Source organism: Homo sapiens, chromosome 16 (assembly GCF_000001405.40).
Source record: "Homo sapiens chromosome 16, GRCh38.p14 Primary Assembly".
NCBI classification, from domain to species: Eukaryota; Metazoa; Chordata; class Mammalia; order Primates; family Hominidae; genus Homo; species Homo sapiens.
The window spans coordinates 14,297,718-14,318,187 of record NC_000016.10 but is presented as its reverse complement, the minus strand read 5'-3'; the positions used below and the strand labels follow the sequence as shown (position 1 = coordinate 14,318,187).

The following is a 20,470-nucleotide window of genomic DNA, read 5'->3' as shown; positions in this document are numbered from 1 at the left end:
GATTGCTCAGGGTTGGGGGCGTTGGAGGATTAGGATGCGGGAGGGTTCTGGGTTTCTTTTCTTTTTTTTTTTTTTTTTTGAGATGGAGTCTCACTCTGTTGCCCAGGCTGGAGTGCAATGGTATGATCTCGGCTCACTGCAAGCTCCGCCTCCGGGGTTCAAGCGATTCTTCTGCCTCAGCCTTCTGAGTAGCTGGGATTACAGGTACACGCCACCACGTCTGGCTAATTTTTGTACTTTTGGTAGAGACGGGGTTTCACCATGTTGGCCAGGCTGGTCTCAAACTCCTGACCTCAGATGATCCGCCTGCCTTGGCCTCCCAAAGTGCTGGGCCCAGGGTTTCTTTTTGAGTTGATGGTGTTCTAACATTGATTGTGATGGTTGTACAACTCTGTGTATACACTCAAAGACATTGAATCATACATGTTAAATGGGTGAAGTGTACGTTAAGTGAATAATCTCTCAATAAAGCTGTTTAAAAAAAGAAGTCACACCTTCCTCTCTGACCCTCCTGCTAGGAATCCTTTGGCTCCAGCTCTCTGCCCTCTTGGGAAATTCCCTTTCTCTTCTCCACCCTCTCCCTACACACACACACACACACACACACACACACACACACACCCCTGCCATTCTGTCTTAAGCTATTTTCAGCCGGGCATGGCGGCTTACGCCTGCAATTCCAGCACTTTGTGAGGCTGATGCAGGAGGATCACTTGAAGCCAGGAGTTCAAGACCAGCCTGGGCAACGTAGTGAGACCCCGACTCTATAAAAGAATAAAAAAATTAGCCGAGAGTGGCCGGGCACGGTGACTCATGCCTGTAATCCCAGCACTTTGGCAGGCTGAGGTCAGGAGATCGAGACCATCCTGGCTAACACAGTGAAACCCCGTCTCTATTGAAAATACAAAAAAAAAAAAAAAAAAAAAAAAAAAGCCAGGCGTGGTGGTGGGCGCCTGTAGTCCCAGCTACTCAGGAGGCTGAGGCAGGAGAATGACGTGAACCCGGGAGGCGGAGCTTGCAGTGAGCCGAGATCGCACCACTGCATTCCAGCCTGGGCGACAGAGCGAGACTCCATCTCAAAAAAAAGAAAAAAAAAAGCCAAGAGTGATGTTCATCTGTAGTCCCAGCTACTCAGGAGGCTGAGGCAGGAGGATCACCTGAGCTCAGGAGTTTAAGGCTGCAGTGAGCTATAATGGCACCAGTGCACTCCAGCTTGGGCAACAGAGCAAGACACTGATTATAAAAAAAAAAAAAAAAAAAGATTTTTATTCTCAGTTTAAAGAATGGCTTCCACAGGCAAAGTGAACCACTGAGGTATTTTTCTGAACTACCACACTTTCTTTCCTCTTTAAAAGTTACTCAGTTGACAGCTACTAAAATTACAATGTTGAAATCCCCAGGGTATTCTATTGTGGCTGTCACCAAGAAATCCTAATAGATCTAATTTCCAAGAGCTGCAGAATTCCCTCAAAGAAGGAGGAGCCAACCTAACCTCTCCAGAGACAGTGGTCATCTGTTCCGAAACATAACTCTGTCACCTCACAGGTGGGGAGAAAAGAACGTTGCCAGGGCCAAGTTCATGATGTTCTAACTGAAGGATAAGCTTTTGCTCTGGAACAGGAGTCAGGAAATACGGCCTGTGGGCCAAGTTTGGCCCACTCCTTGTTTTTGTGAATAAAGTTTTATTGCAACACACAGCCACATCCGTTTGTTTGTGTACTATCTGTGGCTACTTTTGAGTTAAAATGCCAGAGTTGGTCGGGCACGGTGGCTCACACCTGTAATCCCAGCACTTTGGGAGGCCGAGGGGGGTGGATCACGAGGTCAGGAGATGGAGACCAGCCTGGCCAACATGCTGAAACCCCTATCTCTACTAAAAATACAACAATTAGCTGGGCGTTGTACCCTAGAACTTAAAGTATAATAATAAATAAAAAAATAAAACACTGAGACAAAAAAAAAATTAGCTGGGCATGGTGGCGGGCACCTGTAATCTCAGCTACTCAGGAGGCTGAGGCAGGAGGATCACTTGAACCAGGGAATCGTAGGTTGCAGTGAGCCGAGATTGCGCCACCACACGCCAGCCTGGGCAACAGAGCAAGATTCCGTCCCTCCCAACCAAAAAAAAAAGGCAGAGTTGAGCAGCTGCAACAGAGACTGTATTGCCTGCAAAGGCTAAAATCTTCACAATGTGGCCTTTTACAGAAATGGGCTGCTGACCCTTGGAATGGAAGATCCAGGCCTGAGCCCCAGTTCCTCACATGCCGGGTATGTGGCCTTGGACGTCAGTGCATCTCTCTTTCCTCATCAGTAAGCTGGAGATACCAATAATCCCTTTTTATATGTTGCTTATGCAACTGAAATGACTGACTTCATACAGGTGCAGCGCCTAGTACATACAAAGCATTCAATACATATCGATGGTTATGATGTTATTTAGAAAGTGAGGACAGCTTCTGCTTCACAGCATTATTTGAAACAATGGATCATACCTGTGCAAACAGCTGGCAAAGAACATTATAAAAATATATTGGCCAGGTGTGGGGGCTCACGCCTGTAAACCCAGCAGTTTGGGAGGCTGAGGCGGGCAGATCATTTGAGGTCAGGAGTTCGAGACCAGCCTGGCCAACATGGTGAAACCCCATCTCTACTAAAAATACACAAATTAGCTGGGCACGGTGGTGTGTGCCTATAATCCCAGCTACTGAAGCTGAGGTGGGAGAATCACTTGAACCCTGGAGGCAGAGGTTGCAGTGAGCTGAGATGGCACCACTGCACTCTAGCCTGGGCAACAGACTGAGACACTGTCTCAAAAAAAAAAAAAGTTTTGTTATAAATATCTTCTAGGCTTTTGAAACCATTCTTTGCTTCTTAGTACCATTTAGGAGTTTTGAGTGTCAATAAACTTCCAACTTCAGAGGAAAAGGAATCTTTCCTTCAAACCCTCTCATTAACCAATTCAGAAGACCATAACCCATGACCCCTGGCTGGGTCTTGAACCTGCCTGAACTAACATCCAAGTATTCTTTGGGCTATACTCTGCCTCTTCCCCACTATAGGCACTCGAGAAGCCAAGCCCATATGCCTTTATTTTTAATTTAATTATTTTGAGATGGAGTCTCACTGTCACCCAGGCTGGAGTGCAGTGGTGAGATCTCGGCTCACTGCAACCTCCGCCACCAGGTTCAAGCGATTCTCATGCCTCAGCCTCCTGAGTAGCTGGGATTACAGGCGCACGCCACCAGGCCAGGCTAATTTTTGTATTTTTACTAGAGACGGCATTTTACCATGTTGGCCAGGCTGGTCTCAAACTCCTGACCTCAGGTGATCCACCTGTCTTGCCCTCCCAAAGTGCTGGGATTACAGGTGTGAGCCACCGCGCCTGGCCTCCACATGCCTTTAAATACTTGTGTTACCTCTGAACCCCCCACCAGAGCCCGTTAAGCAGGAATCTACTCCAAGGTGTGGGCACACAGGTTTGGGGCAGGGGGAGGGTCTTAGGGGACCCTCAGGGGCTGTCCAGAAGTCTACTGGGGGATGGAGGGTGGTGTTCGGGATGATTGACATCTGACACTGCACCACTGACTTGCTTCCCTGGAAGGTGTCATTTAAGTAGGTTGGGTCCGGGGAGATAGAGCAGTCTCCGATTCACTGGCTTCATGTTAAAACTATTAACTGAACATCTAACACAGACCAGGCCCTGAGGATACAGCAATGAAGGAGTGATGCCCTCTGCCCTTAGCAACTGCCCCGCCTGCCTTTTAATGTTGGCAATTCAGCCCCATAAGGAGTCTTCACATTCTCCCAGGATCTCAGTCCTACTACAAAACACCATCCTGATGACTTGGAAGGTGACTGTGGGCCTGGCTGTGTGATATATGGCTGGTAGGAGTTAAGAGTGACAGCTCTGGAGTACTTTAGATCAGGGCAGGATTGGCTACATAATTTGCAAAATGAAAATGTGAGGCCCCTTGTTCCAAAGTTAGTAAGGCTGGAGCAAAATTGTTAAGGTGGCACTATCACAGCTCACTGCAGCCTGGACATCCTGGGCTCAAGCCAACCTACCCCCTCAGCCTCCTGAGTAGCTGGGACTACCGGGGCGTGCCACCATGCCTGGGTCATTTTTTTGTTTTTGTTTTTAAAGAAATGAGAGTGTGGCTATGTTGCCCAGGCTGGTCTGCAACCCCTGGTCTCAAGCAATTCCCATGCCTTGGCCTCAAAGCAGTCAACTAAGCGTGGGTCCCAGCCCCTGGAAACCAGCCCTGCATCTGAGGTCACACTGCTTGCCTGCTGGTTAACCTTAAATACCTCTCTTCACCGGCCTGAGCCTCAGTTTCCCCAGCCTCAGATGTCAATTAGGCTCACCTGCAGGTTGGCTGTGGCCATTAGGTGAGATGAGGGCCTGTAAAGCGTTTCGCACAGAGGACAGGCTCGGCCACATTACTGATGTTCCTGGCCTGCTGTGGCTGGCGCATTTCATCTTACAATAATAGTTCACATTTATTATTCTTATATAATAGCTAAGACTTATATAGCACATCATCAATGTCAGGCGCCGTGCTTAGTTCTTTACAGACGTTCATGTATTTCATCCTCACCACATCCCTATGCTGTGCCCTAATATTCTAGTAACTGTAGATGGGGGAACTGAGGCACAAAGAGGGCAAGTATCTTGGCAGAGGTCACCCGACCACTCAGTAGAAGAGTCAAGTTCAAACACAGGACAGCTGGCTCCCAGGTCTCTATTCTTAACCCTACCTATTGTTGGGGCTCAGAAAACGGTACCCCAAAATATGGCTCTTTGATGTGCTCAACTGAAGCAGCCTCAAGGTCTCTCCAACACCACCCCCCCGCCCCCACCCCCAATCCTGTTTCTCCATCCTCTGTCCGTCCCAAAGCATAGGAGGAGCCTGCTATCTGGAGTTCCCTTATCTACCTGGAAACCACACCCGCCAAAGAGGAACACAATTGCCTTCGACTCCTTCACTGAAATTTCATTAACCAGAGATGAAAACTCATATCACAGAGGAAGAGAATGAAATGAAACACCACACCTGGAGTGCAGACGGACTTCATCCCAAACTATCATCTGTCCTCCGATCCCATTCGACTCCCTAAAGGAATTATTCACTGACCGTTGTCCCAGCATCAGACCCATTCATTCCTCCTAAAAATCATTTACTACCCCTGAGAGTGGCCGCATTTCCCCCATCTCCCTTCTATGACGGAAGTATTTATTTATATTTTTATATTTTTTTGAGACAAGGTCTCAGTTACCCAGGCTGGAGTGCAGCAGCGTGATCTCGGCTCACTACAACCTCTGCTTCCGGGGCTCAAGCGATCCTCCCACCTCAGCCTCCCGAGTAGCTGGGAGCACAGGTGTGCACCACCAAGGCTGGCTAATTTTTTTTTTTTTGTATTTCTGGTAGAGACAGGGTTTCACCATGTTTCCCAGGCTGGTCTCAAACTAGTGACCTCAAGCAATCCACCTGACTCGGCCTCCCAGACTGCCAGGATTACAGGTGTGAGCCACTGTGCCCAGCGATGGACTTCACTGGGTTATTGGATAATCATTCTCCCGCCACTCCCCTGGCGTTTATGCATGGTGAATAAATTCATATGCCTTTTTCTTTTTTTTTTTTTTTTTTGAGATGGTGTCTTGCTCTTGTCGCCTAGGCTGGAGTGCAGTGAGGCGATCTCGGCTCACTGCAAGCCCCGCCCCCCGGGTTCAGGCCACTCTCCTGCCTCAGCCTCCCGAGTAGCTGGGACTACAGGCGTGCACCACCTCGCCTGGCTAATTTTTGTATTTTTAGTAGAGACGGGGTTTCACCGTGTTAGCCAGGATGGTCTTGATCACCTGAGCTCGTGATCCTCATGCCTCGGCCTCCCAAAGTGCTGGCATTACAGGCATGAGCCACCACGCCCGGCTCATATGCTTTTTTCTCCTATTAATCCACTTGTTGTCAGTCATTTCTTTGGTAAAAACTTTTAAAAAATAAATATAAAATAGGGACAAGGTCTCACTATGTTGCCCAGGAACATTTTGAACTCCTGAGCTCAAGTGATCCTCCCACCTCGGCCTCCCAAAGTACTAGGATTACTGGCGTGAGCCACCATGCCTGGCCTGTCAGTTATTTTTAGCAAACTTTTAGCGGGTGAAGGGGCAGCCTTCCCTTGCCTCCTATGCTATGTGTTCTGGGAGTTGACTCATGACAGACATGTATGCATGATCCCTTCCTGAGATCCTAACACCAAGTATTCAGCGTGAAATTTCCATCGTAACGTGGGATTATTTCTTTTTTTTCCTTTCTTTCTTTTTTTTTTTTTTTTTTTGAGACGGAGTCTCGCTCTGTTGCCCAGGCTGGAGTGCAGTGGCTCAATCTCCGTTCCCTGCAAGCTCCGCCTCCCGGGTTCACGCCATTCTCCTGCCTCAGCCTCCCGAGTAGCTGGGACTACAGGCGCCCGCCACCACACCCGGCTAACTTTTTTGTATTTTTAGTAGAGACGGGGTTTCACCATGTTAGCCAGGATGGTCTCGATCCCCTGACCTCGTGATCCACCCGCCTTGGCCTCCCAAAGTGCTGGGATTACAGGCGTGAGCCACCGCACCCGGCTGGATTATTTCTTTGATTCTTTTGTCTGTCTCCCCTGACTCAACTGTGAGCCCCATGCGGGCAGGGGCTGTCTGGCTCCCTGCTGTACCTCCAGCACCTGGCACCCAGCTCCGCACACAGTAGGGCCTCAGCAGCCATCTATCCAGGGAAGGAAGGGCAGAAGCAGTGTCTAGCCACAGCAATCTGACCCAGAAGCAACAATCACAGCTCTCTTGAGTTTCTAGCCTGCGTGATTTACAAGCTTGTTTTGGGCAGGACTAGGTGGCATGCACCTGTAGCCCAACCACTTTGGGAGGCCGAGGCAGGACGATCGCTTGAGCTCAGGAGTTCGAGGCTGCAGTGAGCTTTGACTGCACCGCTGCAATCCAGCCTGAGTGACAAAGAGAGACCCTGTCTCAATTAAAAAAAAAAAAAAAAAAAAAAAGGTTGTTTTGGGGGAATCTCCAACAGCTCAGGAAACCATCTCATCGGCTCCAGGCTTTTCTCACTTGAGGTCCCCGACACTGTGCAGGTGGAAAGATTTAAGGGGCTCCTGAGAGCCCAGCCCCCATCCTGGCAGGCTGCAGGGGGTGGGTGGGGGGTGCGTTCTGGCAGCAGGGCCGGCAGCTGTCTGCAGGCCTCTCAGTGCCTGCTCTAGCTGGCCAGCGGGGGCCCGCTGCCACCCCCCACCCCATGATGCAGCAGAAAGTGAAACCGCAGTTGGCCCCTGCCGGCTGGGACTGATCACCCATGGTTTCCCTGCAAAACCAGAGTCCCAGGGGGCTGGTGGGCAGCTGGCTCCCAGGTCCGGCACAGTGAGGCCTGTCAGGCAAGTGCCCCTAGAGGCCAAGGGAGGTGCCCTGGCCAGAAAGGAGGGTGCTGAGTCATCGTGACCCTAAAATGAGAGAGAAATCTGAGCTATGGATCAATGCAGGAGTGGGGGGGTGAGGGGTCCCAGTGGTGTCGGTGAGCAGGGAAGGGTGGTTTCCCGACCCCCAAAAGGAAGATGTGTGACACCCAGTTTTGTCATGCTGGAGCCCTCTACAGATCTGAACTGGCAACTCCCCCATCTCCCCCCACCCCTCCCCACACCGACTACAGGAGTGCGGAAAATCCCTGAGATAAACAAGAATTCTCTAAAAGTGGACCTCTGAAACTTTACACACGACTTTCTGATTTCTGTCCCATCCTCAGGGCAGCTGTAGTTGCTTAATATTTTTCTTCCAAAACACCCACTCTTTTTTGTTTAACTGACATCAATTGATGGACAAAAAAAGGGCCCCTGTCTCCCGACCCTAAATGGAAAACCAACCAATTGCCTGAAGTACAAATCAGCGGTGCAAAGAATACCTACTAGAATAATTTTCACCTTTAGCCGGCGCCGCTTAAAATCAGAGATGTGCAAATCAGACTTGGGAGTCTGAGTTACAGGTTTCATGCCTGAGGAGCTGGTGGCTCAGAGAGACTGACTCACTTGTCCCGGGTGACACAGCAAGAGAGGCGCAGAGCTCGGGCTGGAATGCAGGCCTGGCTGATCCCAGAAACCCAGGCTCAGTGCTGGGCTGCCGTCTCCCCACCCATGAATTCCTCTGTGTGTATTCATATTATTACCTTCCATGTTTAATGCATGGACTCTCCAATTTTCAAAGCACCTTCAGAGCTTATACAACGTTAGAGCTTTTTATATATAACATTGGCTACATCCAAGAACCCTTTGAAGCCAGAGCAGGGGGTGCTGCCCCTCCCTTGGTGTATGGGGAAACTGAGGCAGCGAGCGGGGAAAGTGTTCTGTCTCAGGGAGCTAGCAGGAAAGCCAGGACTGCCCCAGGGCCCCCTGCCAAGGCGATGATCCCGGAGGCCCTGGCTGCAAGGACCAGGCCTCGTCAAACAGGTAACACTTGTTTCTTTCCGCTTTCCCTACCTCCCCCTACAACCCCCCAGAGCAAATGCTGACGCTGATGGGGAGCCACAGCTGTACTCCTTCCCAGGCCGGATCTCAGCGTCTGCCCCTGGAGGGCAAAAGCACGTTTAGCAACCAGTGTCTGCGCATGGCGTCTTTCAATTTTTCACAGTGATAACCGGTTTTGAGCACAAGAAGGCATCTACCAGGGACCCAGAAGGCGCTACAGCGGAAGAGTTTGGGGAACAGCTTTCTCTCTTCTTTGAGTTGCTGGAGGAACTCCGAGCTGATGTCTTTCTGGCCCAGGGACCCCCGAGGAATACTGCAAGAGCAATAAGGATTTTTAGGGGCATTATGATAGTGGAATGGAAACACATCTGCCCCCAAAAGTCCCTCATTTTCCCTGCGGTAACGAACCAGCTGGCAGGAAGTGGTAGCTCTCAGAGCACCAAGAGCCAAAACTAAAAAGGAAAAAATGTACAAAGTTAGAGCAAACTTTAAACAAGTGAGCGCTTTCATGGTGTACGGCGGCTCCGTGCAGACTCACGAAAGGGACCTCATCTTCTCAATAATTGGCTAAATAGGTCTCAGTGCAGCAGCTTCCACACAGACGTGCTCAGAAAACCACAGATCTGGAATCCCAGAGCAGGTTCCCAAAATGGATACAAGGATTATTCCCTAAAGCCAGGCGCATCATAGGAGACGTGACGTTTCCCCCAAACTTCAGATGACTGTTCCAGACCCTCATTAATGATCTAAGTTATCCTTCAACACCTCCTCCTCTGGAATGGGAGAAACTTAGTCCCCTTGGAAATGCTGATGAAAATACCTGGTTTCCACAACACGGACAGAAGGACTAAGGCTTGGGTAGGGGAGCTGAGTGGTTATCGCTGGTGGTGCAAAAGGGGCAAACCGGCTGGCGTGGGGGCTCACGCCTGTAATCCCTGCACTTTGGGAGGCCAAAGTGGGAGGACTGCTTGAGGCCAGGAGTTTGAGAACAGCCTGGGCAACACAGTGAGACCCCCCCCAAGTCTCTGCAAAAAATAGCCAGGTGTGGTGGTGTGTGCTTGTAGTCCCAGCTACTCAGGAGGATGAGGCTTGAGCCTAGGAAGTTCAGGCTGCAGTGAGCTGTGCTCACCACTGCACTCCAGCCTGGGCAACAGAGTAAGACACTGTCTCAAAAAAAAGGGGACGGGTTTTACTGCTAAGGTCCCAGGTGCCATCTCTTGGTTCAGCCACTAAGATCTGAGGACTAAGGAGTTCAGGGTGTCTTCCCCAAGGCATATAACCTTTGAGGCCCTGCAGGTGGGTGCCCCCTGTGCCAGCCAGCACCCTCAGAGCCAGGAAAGGGTTAACCCCTCCACATGGCTGACACCAGAGGAGGAGCTTACTACGCAGCCTGGGATATCACACTGGGCCATCTCAGAGAGGAGAGGCCTCTGTGAGTTCTGTGAATGGAAGTGGATTCACTGCCTTCAGATTGAGAACGGGGTGAAAAGGCATCCCCACACAGAACCGACGCCCCAGTCGCTAGCTGGCTCCTTGGCACCCGTCGCATGGCCCCGAAGCTCTGGCAGGGACTCTGGGCACCTGTACCAGTGAGCACCCGGCCATCTCGGCCAGGTCTGTGAGGGAGCGATTCTACCCTTGCCATGTGACAGCCGGCAACTAGGGCCCAGATCTCTTCTTTCAAGTAGCACCTAAAATATTCTCCGGGTGAACCTAGGGCTAAATACGGCATGGCCTACAGGTGCCGGGTCTGGACCTTTTAACGCCATTCTAAGATACGATCGAGAACCCACGAGGCCTTTGGTAGCCTGGAGTCCAGTTACTGGGGCCAAATGGGAGTCCCACGGGTTTGGCTGACTCAGGGCTGGGTGCAACTTCCTGGAGCAGGCACATGTTGGTGCCAGGGCAGAGAGGCTGCAGACAGTTTTCTTGTGTGTTTGAACCCAGAATGCCAGCCCAGTTCTCACTCTGGGCCGACCCCCAAGGTGGCTTAGTTGGTGGCCCCTTTTTCTGTCCACCTGGCCCACTTCTTTCCACTTCCAGCCTGCAGCCCGGCCCTTCCTGGCCTAGGTTTTCCTCCCAGCCTGATCAAAGCAAAAGGCTCAGCTCCCAGGTGGGAGGCCTCACGGAGCTGGAGAAGAGACCAGCAAACACATGCACGGTAACTCAGATGTGTTATGTGTTGTCTTGCTGGCTGGGAGCTACGCCTCCTAGGCCCACCCCAAGTCGAAGGATCGCAGCCCTGGTGCTCGAGAGCAAGGGCTTGGGGCTGGGCTGCAAAAGCTCAGCTTTGCCTCTGAATCTTCTAGAACCACGTTTGCACTCACACAGGACAGATTTGCTCTGAGCCTGTGGGATAGCCTCATCTGTTCCCCTTTGAGCATTTGGAAAGCAAAGTGGGGTTCTGCCCTCGCCAGAGCCCACAGGGTCACCAGGCTATTAAACCCTGCAGAGTCTCTGGGGAGGCTGACTTTGAGAGCCAAATACCCCATCTTCTGGCTGAACTGCTGCAGGCTTCGTCTCGGGAGGAAAGACCCCCAGGCACCTGTCTGGACTTGTCTGGGCACCAGTAGTGGCTCTGAGGCCACATCTGGGCCTCGGCTGGCAGAGGTCTGGGCTGTCTTGGGCACAAATGCCAATGCCAACAGGCCCAGCACTGATCTCACACGATTCCAGCAAGAGAGCCTAGATTTTTGCACATCTCTGAGAAAACTGTCATACCACACCGCACAGCTAACCTTAGGCGCAACCAGCCACTAACTCCTCTCCCTGCCCAGGCGAAGTCCCCTTTGCTGCAGTGGGGCAGCATTTCAGGGACACGGAGAAAGAAGTTTGCTTTGTGGTTCCGTAAACTCAGACGGATGATATAAAATCAGAAACCTTATTTTAAAGCTTGGTAAATATGTGCATATGTCCCCTACAACTGGGGACGCTGGAAAGGCAGCATCTGAACACTGGCTGCTTTGAAAAGAGGTCATGAGAAGGGCAGAAGGGGTCAGCTGGGCATGGGGTGATGGAGGGAACCCCAAGTCCACTCCTAAATTCTTTCAACGTCCATCTCTTTCCCTGAAAAGTCGGCTTGGCTACTAGGCCTGAAAAGTATGTTGTTTATATCATGTTTGTGAGCGTCAGGGTTTATTTTCACCTGCTCCAGATACAAGAAGCAAAAAGAACTCTACATTTTTCTGTGTTTGGGGTGCTCAGGCGAGAAAGAAAATGCCTGCTTAAAGTAACTGATCAGCAATGTTTTGTTTGTACACGCACTTTATTCTGGTGAGTGATTTTAAGTACCAAGTTTGCCTTAACTTTTCACTGCACTCATTTTTATCCTCATGGCTAAAATAGCTGTATTTGCTCCACAATCAAAATTAAAGGAGGGTGAGCTGATCGTTAGGAGGCTATAGTTGATCTGGCAAGAATTTCCATCTTTCTGTTCATAACGTTAAGTTGGGGGGTTGCTGGGAAGGGAAACAGAGAGAGTGTTCCCTTGGAGGGACTTTTCCAACTTTCATTGGTTTGAATCACCAACATATATTTTATTTTTAAGGAAGTATCATATTCATTGCAGAACCACCTCTAAATATTTTACTCCTGGCCATACCGTATTCTTTTCTATTGAAACATCTTTTTTGCCTCTCTGAGATCAGCTATGGCTTGGGGATTGCTAAGAACAAAATTCAAAGTTGCTTGTTTTTTGTTTTTTTTTTTCTTAAATCCACACTTCTTTGGGGGTTAGCGGGGGTGGGGAGGGAACAGCAACTGCTTAATGAAGTTTCTCACACAGAGGCAAAAAGAGAAAAGCCAAAATATATTCAGTGTATCCAGCAGTTCCATGCTGAATTTTTTTTTTCCTTATTGGTTGAGGGGGGTGTGTAGGAGGGTGGTGGGAAGGATCTGAAAAGAAGCTGTGATTCTTTGCTGAATTAATGATGACTTCTCACTGCAAAATGCTGATTTATAATCTCTTCACCATACTAGACTGTTTCCAGACTCAGAGGGGGGTTAAAGTTTGTTAAATGTATTCATAATTACATGCACAGTTTCAGACGGCTGAATATAAGTAATGCTTGTGCTGTTGCGAATGCTCACCATTAAAGCAGAAATTGTTTCACATTTAGCACTAAATTCTGTCTGATTTTGCACACTTAACAATTCAGTAATTTTAACATTCGGCTTCGTCGCCTCCATTATAGCTCAGTATCTTGGAGAAACAGTCAGTGTTCCGGCCTCGTTAATTCATGTAAAACACCCTATTTGTAGAAGTATCATTAAAGGCTAATTTGATGAGATATCCTTATTTAGCAAAGCAAATAGGATTTGACAGTCAGCTCCGGGTGGCGATTTAGCAAAGCACAAACACAATTCACAACGTGACAATTTCCCATCCACGCGCCTCGCTGGAATTGTGGACTCCTGAAAATTGTGCTGTTTCATCGTGTCCCATACTAAAGAGAAAGAACTCTGGAAGTAAAGAACTGTTTTTGCCAAGGCAGCACAAATGTCATCTGTGTGTACATGTGCCATGTCTTTCAAATCCTAAATCTTGTATCAAGAACGCTGTGTTCAAAGGTTTTTTCCAGGTACAGCTCACTTTTCTATTCCCTGCTATGTAGACTTAATTTAAATCTAGACTTGCAAATAACTTAGGATGTGTGAAAGTCTATATAGGTTACAACTATATAGGGTGTGTGTGTGTGTGTGTGTACACACAACTGAAGGTTAATGTTCTGCGACGGGGATTTATACACACTACCCTTGCTTTAGAGACTTCCCCTGAACGTATTATCCAGCCTTCTATAAAACGCCTGGCTGGGTGCAGTGGCTCATGCCTGTAATCCCAGCACTTTGGGAGGCTGAGGTGGGCGGATCACGAGGTCAGGAGATCGAGACCATCCTGGCTAACACGGTGAAACCCCGTCTCTACTAAAAATACAAAAAAATTAGCCGGGCGTGGTGGCGGGCGCCTGTAATCCCAGCTACTCGGGAGGCTGAGGCAGGAGAATCGCCTGAACCCGGGAAGCAGAGGTTGCAGTGAGCCAAGATCGCGCCACTGCACTCCAGCCTGGTCAGAGCCTGGACAGAGCGAGATTCTGTCCCCAAAAAACAAACAAACAAACAAACAAAACAAAACAGAACAAAAAGAACGCCTTCAACAGCAAAGAGTTGCAAAGAAATGTTGCAATTCCAGGTGGAAGCAAACAGCTGGTTTCTCCTAATTTAGCAAACGTAAAGACAAATCTAATGTCGTTACAATTCATCATTTCAGGAGCGCCTTATTTGGGGGCTTCAAACACTTTGCCACAATTGACATCCTACTAATTCCTTTCCAATCCAATACTGTCCCTTAAACCACTGTGGGGGTGGTCAGGGGGAATGTACTTTCTCCTCCTTGTATCGTTTTTCGGCCTCCCAAGGAGAGAAGCCCTTGGAAAACACAGTAGGTTCGGCAAACTGAGAACACACACTTATAAGAATACCGCCCTCGAAGGGACCTTTTAGTTTTATGGAAAGTAGCAAACCTCCCCCTCTTTCCCCGCCCCCCCGCCAGCCGGGTTTTGGACGCGCTCCCTGGGGGTGGTAGCTCTCTGCCCTCACCCTCCCGAGACTGCCGGGGCCTGAGTCCCTCGCTGTCCAGAATGACCCCAAAAGCGGGACTTTGAGGGCCAGTTGGATAAAACATAAACTCATCTCGCCCTCAAAACCCCGATTCTGAGACCACAGCCTCCAAAAGCCTCTTTTCCCAAGAAGTGAGTCCCCATTCACGGCTGACAGCACCGGGGCAGGCCGCCTTTGAGGCAAGAGTTTGGAGAACCGGGATCACTGAAGGAATCGTTACTGGGTGTTCCCTCAGGGCGGCGGTTCATCTCACCAAAATGCCAGGGGGTCGCTGTGGGAGGAGGGGACATTTGCCACACCATGGCTGAGGGCAAGAGGATCGCTTGATCCCGGGGTGTCTCTTCCCTCCCGGAGCAATCACCAATCTCGCCCAGCAAACAGGCCTAAAAGCTTCCCGGACAACACGAGGGGTGCCCCAAACGTCCCTTAGCAGCGGATAAATCGGGTGTCCGAGGTGCCTCGTACAGTTCCCCCCACCCCATCTCCAGCTAAATAAAGTTTGGTTATTTGTGTCCTTAATCGTCTCTCATTAAAGTCAAATTTGCTGCGCGCCCAAGTTGGGGGAAATGATTTCCATTTTAATAGCTTAATTAGCCTCTAGGTTCTGGAAAGGCCACTCCCCCACGCACCTTTTCTCCTCATTTTAACCCCCCTCCCTTTTTCACAACTTCTCCTAAAAATAAATTATAAATATGGATGTGTCCTCAGAGGACATAAGCGGCGCATTCCAACGCTCCGCTTGGTGGGGATTGGAAGCAAAGAGAAACCAGAAACGCCACTCCCCCCACCCCCAAATCAAAATGCCTTTTTCTTTTTTTTTCTAACTTCTTTTTCCTAACTTGGTGTTGTCTCGGGCACAGACACCCCGCTCCGCACCCCGGAACCTAGTTTTTTTGCCCCCGTCCTGCAGAAGCTAAAGCCAACGCGCCAGGGCTGCCTGCTTCTCGGGGGGAGGGAGCTGACAACTTTAGGGGGCGGCGGTAACTCTCTGGGGACGGTGGTTCCCGGCTAGTCCGGGATCCCCGGGGCCCGGCCCCCGCAGGCGCCGCCGCCCATGCCAGCGGGGCTCGGGCGCACGTGGAGCGGCGGGCGCGGCCGGCCTGCTCCGCGCGCGGCATTGAGATCGGGGTCACGCAGCGAGTCAGTTTCCCGAGCGGGCTTTCCGGGGTGGGGGCGGGGACGCGGACGCTCCACCGCCTCGTCAATTTCCAAGCCCAGGCACTAGGGAGGCTGGGGGCGGCCTCGCCCCCTTCCTACCTCCCGGCTTCACACGCCCCTCTGGGGAGCGGGGGAGGGGTCCGAGGGGGAGCCGGGGTGGCGGCAGCGGCGGCAATCGCAGCCCAGACAAGCGTCTCGCGCCGAGTCCCGAGAGAACCGCGCGCTCCCCCGCCGCCACCTCCCCTCTCCCGTTCCCATCCACCCCGCAGACAGCCGCCCCACACCCCTTCGGCCCTGGGGGCTTGGGCACCCACCTGCCGCGATCCCTGCCTTGGCTGGCGGAAGGTGCCAGGCGGGAAGAAGGGGAGCACTCACCGCCGCTGCCGCCTCCGGGGGTGCACGGGCCCCCCCACCCAGGGCTGCGCCTTCCCGGGCTCCGGGCAGGCGTGCGCCGGGCGGGGGGCGCCCCGCGGGCCCTGCAGCCTCCGCCTCGATTGGAGCCCAGCCTTAAATCCTCCACCGTGGAGAAGAAGGGTACTTCCAGAAAAAAAATCCGCCCCTCCCCAGACGAGATCCAAGTGATGGGCGGGGAGCGTAGAAAATCCTTTTCTGCAGAGAGCGCGCAGCCGACGGGGCTGCACCCGGCCTCCACGGTCCGCTGCCGCCACAAAGCCGCGCCCCCGCCCCCCCCAACCCCCCAGCGCCCTATGGCCGGCCCGGGGCGGGGGCTGGGCCGGCCCGGGGTTGGCCGCGCTGGGGAGGCGGCGGCGGCAGCGGCCCAGGCGGCGGGGCGGCTCCTCCCCGGCCAGGCAGAGAGGGCGAGAGCCTGGAAGCCTAGCGCGCCCGCCCGGGTGGGGGTGGGGGTGGGGGTGGGGGTGGGGGTGGGGGCGGGGGCCGGGGTGGGGGGGCGCCTTCCTAGAAACGCTCGCCAAATATAGTCAGCGGATAGGGGCATTCCTAGAAATGCGGCGGCGACGTCAGCCTCGACCCTGGGGGCGGGGGGCAGAGCCCGGGGTGCTTCAAACAGGGGGCACGGAGGAGGGGGAAAGAGTCCCCACTTCCAGTACCACCGCAGCCCACAGACGGAACCGAGGCCGGGCTTCCCTCCCGAGGGGCGTGCTGGAGTCCTCCAAAGGCGCTTGAGGTATCCGGGAGCTAGGGGCGCATCCACTGAAGATTCAGACCCGGTCTGTCCCCCTCTTTCGGGAACACCCAGTGCCAATGCCAGCTGGCGCTTTTGGCCCTTCCCCCAATTTTCAGCACCCCCCGCTTCCCCCGCCGCACAAACACACACAACCCCCGTGAACAAACAGTAAAAGTAGGAGCAGCATCAGGCAGGTTCCCCAAGCCTCTTACACCCACCCCATGACGGTCTCTCACCTCCTCTGGAATGGCTGGAGTCCCCTGGATCCCCCAGGGTTGAAATTGCACAGACACACTGTGTTCCCAAGAACTCCCCCAAATACCAACCCAGCTTCGGGCCAGAAAATAAAGTTGTGCTTCCTCCTCCCCAGTCCAATGTCACTTTGTTGCTGCTTCCGGGGCTAAGGGCTCTTGGAGAGGTGCTGGAACTTGGGGGTAGGGCACAAGGGTGTCCCCTCCACCTGGCAAAGATCTGGCCTCTGGTGCTGACACTCTCACCAGCCATAGCTGTAATACTTTTCATTTCCCGCAGTAAGGGAGATGCCCCCCCCCAGCAGCTCATCCCCTTCCTAAAATCTTCCCCCACCCCCACACCCCTGCCCAGGGACCCCCAAATCCATTGCAGAAGTGGCCCCTCTTTCGCAAAGAGAATCCACATAACTGAGACATGACTTGTCCCTCTCCACCGCCCAGCCTCTCTGCGCGAAAACGTGACTGGCCTGAACCTCCCAGGATCATAAAAAATGTATTTTGCTGTCCTCTGTTGGCCAACACAGGTCACGCTCATAAAACACACCACCCAACTTAGCGGGCAGTCCTGATGCCACAGAGGAGGTCCCAGGGACCCCAGCCAAGGGGAGCGAGCTGGCCTCCTCTCCTTCTGCCTGTGGTGTCCCTGCCCTCTCCATCCTCTTTCTTTCTTTTTCTTTTTTTTTTTTTTGTTTGAGACAGAGTTTCACTCCTCTTGCCCAGACTGGAGGGCAGTGGCGCGATCTCGGCTCACTGCAACCTCTATCTCCCAGGTGTAGGCGATTCTCCTGCCTCAGCCTCCAGAGTAACTGGGATTACAGGCATGCGCCACCATGCCCAGCTAATTTGTGTATTTTTAGTAGAGATGGGGTTTCACCATGTTGGCCAGGCTGGTCTCAAACCCCCGACCTCAGGTGATCCACCCGCCTCGGCCTCCCAAAGTGCTGGGATTATGGGTCATCTTTCTTATCTTGCAGCCGACGCACAGGACTTGCTCATGTCCCCTTTTCCTCATTGGGCCTTAATTCCAGAAATCTGGAGGGATTTCTTCCTTGCTCTAGGGGAGGCAAGGAAGGCTGTGTTCACTCTGGACCCGGGGTCGGTGGGGCACGGGGGACCTTGGGATGGTTTTTCCAATAGCAACTTGGAGAGGAAATGTAGCACAAAAGGCAACAGCTGATCACTGATAATAACAGTCCCCATTCCCCCCCACCCCGAGACCTAAGCACATGAAGAATAGTAACTTACTGAACTTACCCATTTTCCAGATCGAAAGACTGAGGCTAGGCCAGGCACCGTGGCTCATGCCTGTAATCCCAGCACTGTGGGAGGCTGAGGCGGGTGGATCATTTGAGGTCAGAAGTTTGAGACCAGCCTGGACAACGTGGTGAAACCCCGTCTCTACTAAAAATACAAAAAAGTTAATGGGGTGTGGTGGTGAGCACCTGTGGTCCCAGCTACTTGGGAAGCTGAGGCAGGAGAGTGGCTTGATCCCGGGAGGCGAAGGCTGCAGTGAGCCAAGATTGTGCCACTGCACTCCAGCCTGGGCGACAAAGTGAGACTCTGTCTCAAAAATAAAAATAAAAAATAAAACAAAAGACTGAAGCTTAGAGGTCAGTTGTTCATGGAACTAACACCTGCTGGCCCTCTGTGTGCCAGGCACAGAGCTGCTGCTAGAGCCCCCAGAGCTAAGGTGGTAAACAGCACAGGTCCCTGCCCTTGAGGAACTAGACGTCTCAGGGAAAGACTTGAGTCAACAGGTGAGCACTTCGCTGCCGTTATGGTCCAGGGCACCGCGACAGAGCGAGGCTGGGCTGGGGGTGTCCTACCCTGGCCCTTCCTGCAGGGGTTGTCTCCATCCAGCCTGCAGTATCCTCACCGGCTCTTCTTGCAAGCTGCATTGAAAGAGAGCGGCTGTGTCTCCCCCTGCTGCGTGTCGCCAGCTCGGGGGACCCCGGGCACTGCTTCGCCTCTCTGGGCCTCTGTTTCCTCCTTGGTAAAGTAGGAGTCACAAGGCCTGCCTTATAGGACTTTTAGCGGGATTGCCTGAGACAGACAACCTGTAGGAGTACATGGCAACAGTGATTGGTGAGCTTGGTGCTGTCACCTGGAGGATGGGATGTCTGAGCTGAAACTGTGAAAAAGGAAAACACTGGGGCCGGGCACAGTGGCTCACGCCTGTGATCCCAGCACTTTGGGAGGCCAAGGATCACCTGAGGTCAGGAGTTGGAGACCAGCCTGGCCAACATGGTGAAACCCCGTCTCTACTAAAAATACAAAAATTAGCCAGGCGTGGTGGCGCGTGCCTGTAATCCCAGCTACGCCAGAAACTGAGGTGGGAGAATCGCTTGAACCCAGAAGGTAAGAGGTTGCAGTGAGCCGAGATCGCACCATTGCACTCCGGCCCAGGCAACAGAGCGAGACTCTGTCTCAAAAAAAGAATACACAGGGCTGGTGGGAGGGATCGAGTCGGGGCAGCAGGCACCGCATGTGCAAAGGCCCGGCCCCTCTGGGGAACTAAAATAGCTGCAGCAGTGCTGCCTTGGGGGCCTCCAGGTGCTGCCCCCACCCACATCTGTGCCCTGAGCCACAAGATTTTGGAAGCTCACCTCATCTCTCCAGTTCAGGCCCTGCCTGGGCTCTGGGACACCTGGATCAGGTGCAGAAGGAAAAACCAGGCCACCAAAGGCAGCCAGGGCCCGACCTTTATCTTGCAATTGAAATCCCCTTCAGAGGTGCCCCCTGGATCCTTCTGAGGCCTGCCCTTGCCAGGCCTGGCTTGGCTTCCCCGTGACTCAAGCGAGTGGCGGCCTGAAATCCAGTTCAGCAGTGGAAGCGCCGCCAGACTCCGGAAAACAGCCCGCTCTTGGTCCGGAAGCCCCAGAGGCCCACCCTGGCCTTCTCCCAGGAAGGAGCCCCACCTGCATCCAGGTTTCTAGCCCCAGGGCGATGCCAAGGCCCCAGCCAGAACTAGGGAGCGGCCACGCCAGGCAGAAGGAGCCCTGGAGGGCCGCAGCCGTGCTCAGCCTCTGGGAAAGTCTTGGACTCTGGGCTCCCAGGCCCGCACAGAGAGGGTGGGCGCAGGCTTTGCCCTGCCCGCCTGTGGGCGCTTTCCTTGGGGCCTGGGGAAGGAGGACAGGAGGGTACCAGCGCCCAGTTACTGCCACCTCCTGAGCCTCCCAAAATACCCACAATGAGAAACTTCCCAAGCAAACATACAGAATGTATTGTACAATTGGTTTTATTTTTATTTTATTTACTTATTTATTTATTATTTTGAGACGGAGTCTCACTGTCGCCCAGGCTGGAGTGCAGTGGCACAATCTCGGCTCACTACAAGCTCCGCCTCCTGGGTTCACGCCATTCTCCTGCCTCAGCCTCCAAAGTAGCTGGGACTACAGGCGCCTGCCACCACGCCCGGCTAATTTTTTTGTATTTTTTAGTGGAGACGGGGTTTCACTGTATTACAGGATGGTCTCGATCTCCTGACCTCGTTATCCGCCTGCCTCGGCCTCCCAAAATGCTGGGATTACAGGAGACGGGGTTTCACTGTATTAGCCAGGATGGTCTCAATCTCCTGACCTTGTGATCCACCCGCCTCGGCCTCCCAAAGTGCTGGGATTACAGGCGTGAGCCACCGCACCCGGCCTGTACAATAGGTTTTAAATGCTTGGATTGAACAAATGTAGGCTTGTTAAAAACAGACACACAAGTCCATAGCCATACGGTGATGCTAGCCATGGGACAATGGCGGAATATAGGTGCTTCCAGAGGGATCCTTGGAACAGTTTGTTTTTTTGGT

The 20,470-nt window shown here is 52.5% G+C and overlaps 1 long non-coding RNA gene and 2 other non-coding genes across 5 annotated transcripts in view, besides 13 other annotated features; all 3 read right to left on the bottom strand.

The window, feature by feature from the left end:
• MIR193BHG (MIR193b-365a host gene) overlaps window positions 1-16,807 on the bottom strand; it is a 29,682-nt gene extending 12,875 nt beyond the window's left edge. The window contains exon 1 of one of the 3 annotated variants that reach the window (NR_170633.1): window positions 16,657-16,807. This is a non-coding gene — a long non-coding RNA (MIR193b-365a host gene). Of the gene's footprint in view, window positions 1-15,590; window positions 15,945-16,656 lie in introns of those variants that run through there. The other 2 variants (NR_132983.2, NR_132984.2) reach the window with 2 other exon arrangements.
• Window positions 7,171-7,310: an enhancer, noted in NCBI's record as "active region_10494". NCBI's record gives its function as "activates an Ori minimal core promoter by ATAC-STARR-seq in GM12878 lymphoblastoid cells {active_cell/tissue: GM12878}" and the evidence as "EXISTENCE:reporter gene assay evidence [ECO:0000049][PMID:35858748]".
• Window positions 7,322-7,616: an enhancer, noted in NCBI's record as "tiled region #8431; HepG2 Activating non-DNase unmatched - State 25:Art". NCBI's record gives its function as "activates a minimal TATA promoter and a strong SV40 promoter by Sharpr-MPRA in HepG2 cells {active_cell/tissue: HepG2}" and the evidence as "EXISTENCE:reporter gene assay evidence [ECO:0000049][PMID:27701403]".
• Window positions 7,322-7,736: a biological region, named in NCBI's record as "Sharpr-MPRA regulatory regions 8431 and 11785".
• Window positions 7,411-7,530: an enhancer, noted in NCBI's record as "active region_10493". NCBI's record gives its function as "activates an Ori minimal core promoter by ATAC-STARR-seq in GM12878 lymphoblastoid cells {active_cell/tissue: GM12878}" and the evidence as "EXISTENCE:reporter gene assay evidence [ECO:0000049][PMID:35858748]".
• Window positions 7,442-7,736: a silencer, noted in NCBI's record as "tiled region #11785; K562 Repressive non-DNase unmatched - State 5:Enh". NCBI's record gives its function as "represses a minimal TATA promoter and a strong SV40 promoter by Sharpr-MPRA in K562 cells {active_cell/tissue: K562}" and the evidence as "EXISTENCE:reporter gene assay evidence [ECO:0000049][PMID:27701403]".
• On the bottom strand, window positions 8,817-8,903 carry MIR365A (microRNA 365a). Its single transcript, NR_029854.1, has one exon. It is a non-coding gene; the product is annotated as a microRNA 365a (primary transcript).
• Window positions 9,503-9,552: an enhancer, noted in NCBI's record as "active region_10492". NCBI's record gives its function as "activates an Ori minimal core promoter by ATAC-STARR-seq in GM12878 lymphoblastoid cells {active_cell/tissue: GM12878}" and the evidence as "EXISTENCE:reporter gene assay evidence [ECO:0000049][PMID:35858748]".
• Window positions 10,348-11,032: an enhancer, noted in NCBI's record as "H3K27ac-H3K4me1 hESC enhancer chr16:14401013-14401697 (GRCh37/hg19 assembly coordinates)". NCBI's record gives its function as "activates a minimal SCP1, AML or CMV promoter by ChIP-STARR-seq in naive and primed H9 embryonic stem cells {active_cell/tissue: H9 hESC(naive and primed)}" and the evidence as "EXISTENCE:reporter gene assay evidence [ECO:0000049][PMID:30033119]".
• Window positions 11,033-11,718: an enhancer, noted in NCBI's record as "H3K27ac-H3K4me1 hESC enhancer chr16:14400327-14401012 (GRCh37/hg19 assembly coordinates)". NCBI's record gives its function as "activates a minimal SCP1, AML or CMV promoter by ChIP-STARR-seq in naive and primed H9 embryonic stem cells {active_cell/tissue: H9 hESC(naive and primed)}" and the evidence as "EXISTENCE:reporter gene assay evidence [ECO:0000049][PMID:30033119]".
• Window positions 14,081-14,130: a silencer, noted in NCBI's record as "silent region_7231". NCBI's record gives its function as "represses an Ori minimal core promoter by ATAC-STARR-seq in GM12878 lymphoblastoid cells {active_cell/tissue: GM12878}" and the evidence as "EXISTENCE:reporter gene assay evidence [ECO:0000049][PMID:35858748]".
• MIR193B (microRNA 193b) lies at window positions 14,139-14,221 on the bottom strand. The gene has a single exon (NR_030177.1). It is a non-coding gene; the product is annotated as a microRNA 193b (primary transcript).
• Window positions 15,084-15,323: a silencer, noted in NCBI's record as "silent region_7230". NCBI's record gives its function as "represses an Ori minimal core promoter by ATAC-STARR-seq in GM12878 lymphoblastoid cells {active_cell/tissue: GM12878}" and the evidence as "EXISTENCE:reporter gene assay evidence [ECO:0000049][PMID:35858748]".
• Window positions 15,084-15,389: a biological region, named in NCBI's record as "ReSE screen-validated silencer GRCh37_chr16:14396656-14396816".
• Window positions 15,229-15,389: a silencer, noted in NCBI's record as "fragment chr16:14396656-14396816 (GRCh37/hg19 assembly coordinates)". NCBI's record gives its function as "represses an EF-1alpha promoter that drives an FKBP-Casp9 reporter gene in an ReSE screen in K562 erythroleukemia cells {active_cell/tissue: K562}" and the evidence as "EXISTENCE:reporter gene assay evidence [ECO:0000049][PMID:32094911]".
• Window positions 15,674-16,163: a silencer, noted in NCBI's record as "silent region_7229". NCBI's record gives its function as "represses an Ori minimal core promoter by ATAC-STARR-seq in GM12878 lymphoblastoid cells {active_cell/tissue: GM12878}" and the evidence as "EXISTENCE:reporter gene assay evidence [ECO:0000049][PMID:35858748]".
• Window positions 16,808-20,470: the final 3,663 nt, after the last annotated feature.